Raw genomic sequence first — 1,479 nt, forward strand, 5'->3', positions numbered from 1 at the left:
CCATACATATTTACTGAGCATTCCCCATGCCCTGGGCGCTGAGAGGGTCCCCCTAGGAAGCAGGTGCATCCTGCCCTTGGTGAGATTAGGCTTCTGTCGTACTCAGTCAGTGCAATATCGTCAACTCCCAAGACCCCTACCTAGCCAGGTAGAGGAGAGGATTGGAGAGAAATCATTAAGTCACTTCAGCCCTTTTAATTAGCTTTTTCCAGTCTCAAGTGCTACTGCAGGTATGAGGGAAGTGAAGCCCTGAGCGCTGCTCCGGAGGATTTGGCATGCGAGTGAGTGGGAAAGAAAGAAAGCTCCTTCAATGACTGCCGTGGAAAAAGTGCCCCGGATTGGCGCATCTGAAGCTGACGTGCGCACGGGTCACCTGGGAGTCCTGTCAAAATGTAGGTTCTGATTTGCTGGATTGGGGTGTGGCCCAACAACCTGCATTTCCGGTTTGCCCAGGTGATGTTCATGCCACTGATCCTGAGCCACACTTTGAGAAGCCAGGTAAAGCCCCATGATCAGCACGGGAGGGGGCACAGGGAGCTGTGGTGATCTGGGGACACTGCAGGCTGCTGGGGGCTGCCTTGGACCTTGAAGGAGAGACAGGTTGGAGGCAGTAGCAGTTGTGGAGGCCAGGATGTCACAGGGCAGGAGTGGGGCTGGAAAGGGCAGAGGGGGGAGGCCCCCAGCCCCTGCCTAGGCTGCTTTTATTCTGTAAAGAGGTTTTTACTCTAGACCTTCCATTTTCCTGGAAGTGAAGGTCTGACATGCATTGATCCAGAAGGTAAAAACCGAAGGATGGGTGAACAGGCACACTCTTCCTCACTTCATTTAACTGGAATCAAAGCAACAGGGAAGTGGAGGTGGGGTGGGAGTTGGGGAGAGGGGTGGGGGTGGGAGAAGGGCTTTCCCAGGCAGGCAAGTTCCTGATGGGTGGGGAGTGGATAGGGAGCAGCAGGTGGCACGGGGTTTCTGTGACCGGGACCTGTGATCCTCTTGCCTTTGGGCAGCCAGTGGGTCCACAAGCCATCCAAGGGCAAAGTTTGTGCTTTTAGAAATTTCTTTCCGAGGAAGCGATTAGCCAGCCAGACCTGTTGTCCTTTTGCAAGCAGCAAATTACCCAGGAAAATGTAATTACCCATTTGCTTTGTTATTAGTGCACAGCTAAGAAGATTGAAGCAATCGCCCCTTTCATGGTATTTCAAAGCTTACTCACACGATGCATCCCTGATATTAAACACAATGAGACTTTTTTGAATTCAATTAAGCATTTGCCTACTGTGACTCTTTATTCATTGCAAATTGTCTCAGTAAATAATCTTCATCAAAAGTCAGAACCAATCCCCATTAGTTGTTTAGATTAATTAATGGGTCCCCCTGGAGCCACCCAAATCAATTCAATTTGAACGTCAACAACTTGGCGATGGAGTTTCCCAGGTTGGCATTAAGACAATATTAAACCTGCAATAAGTCACATTTAAAATG

The 1,479-nt window shown here is 49.8% G+C and overlaps 2 annotated features.

Moving 5' to 3' along the window:
• Nucleotides 1-501: an enhancer, noted in NCBI's record as "H3K4me1 hESC enhancer chr17:75587194-75587694 (GRCh37/hg19 assembly coordinates)". NCBI's record gives its function as "activates a minimal SCP1, AML or CMV promoter by ChIP-STARR-seq in naive H9 embryonic stem cells {active_cell/tissue: H9 hESC(naive)}" and the evidence as "EXISTENCE:reporter gene assay evidence [ECO:0000049][PMID:30033119]".
• Nucleotides 502-1,002: an enhancer, noted in NCBI's record as "H3K4me1 hESC enhancer chr17:75587695-75588195 (GRCh37/hg19 assembly coordinates)". NCBI's record gives its function as "activates a minimal SCP1, AML or CMV promoter by ChIP-STARR-seq in naive H9 embryonic stem cells {active_cell/tissue: H9 hESC(naive)}" and the evidence as "EXISTENCE:reporter gene assay evidence [ECO:0000049][PMID:30033119]".

The sequence above is a fragment of the Homo sapiens genome, chromosome 17, assembly GCF_000001405.40.
Source record: "Homo sapiens chromosome 17, GRCh38.p14 Primary Assembly".
NCBI classification, from domain to species: Eukaryota; Metazoa; Chordata; class Mammalia; order Primates; family Hominidae; genus Homo; species Homo sapiens.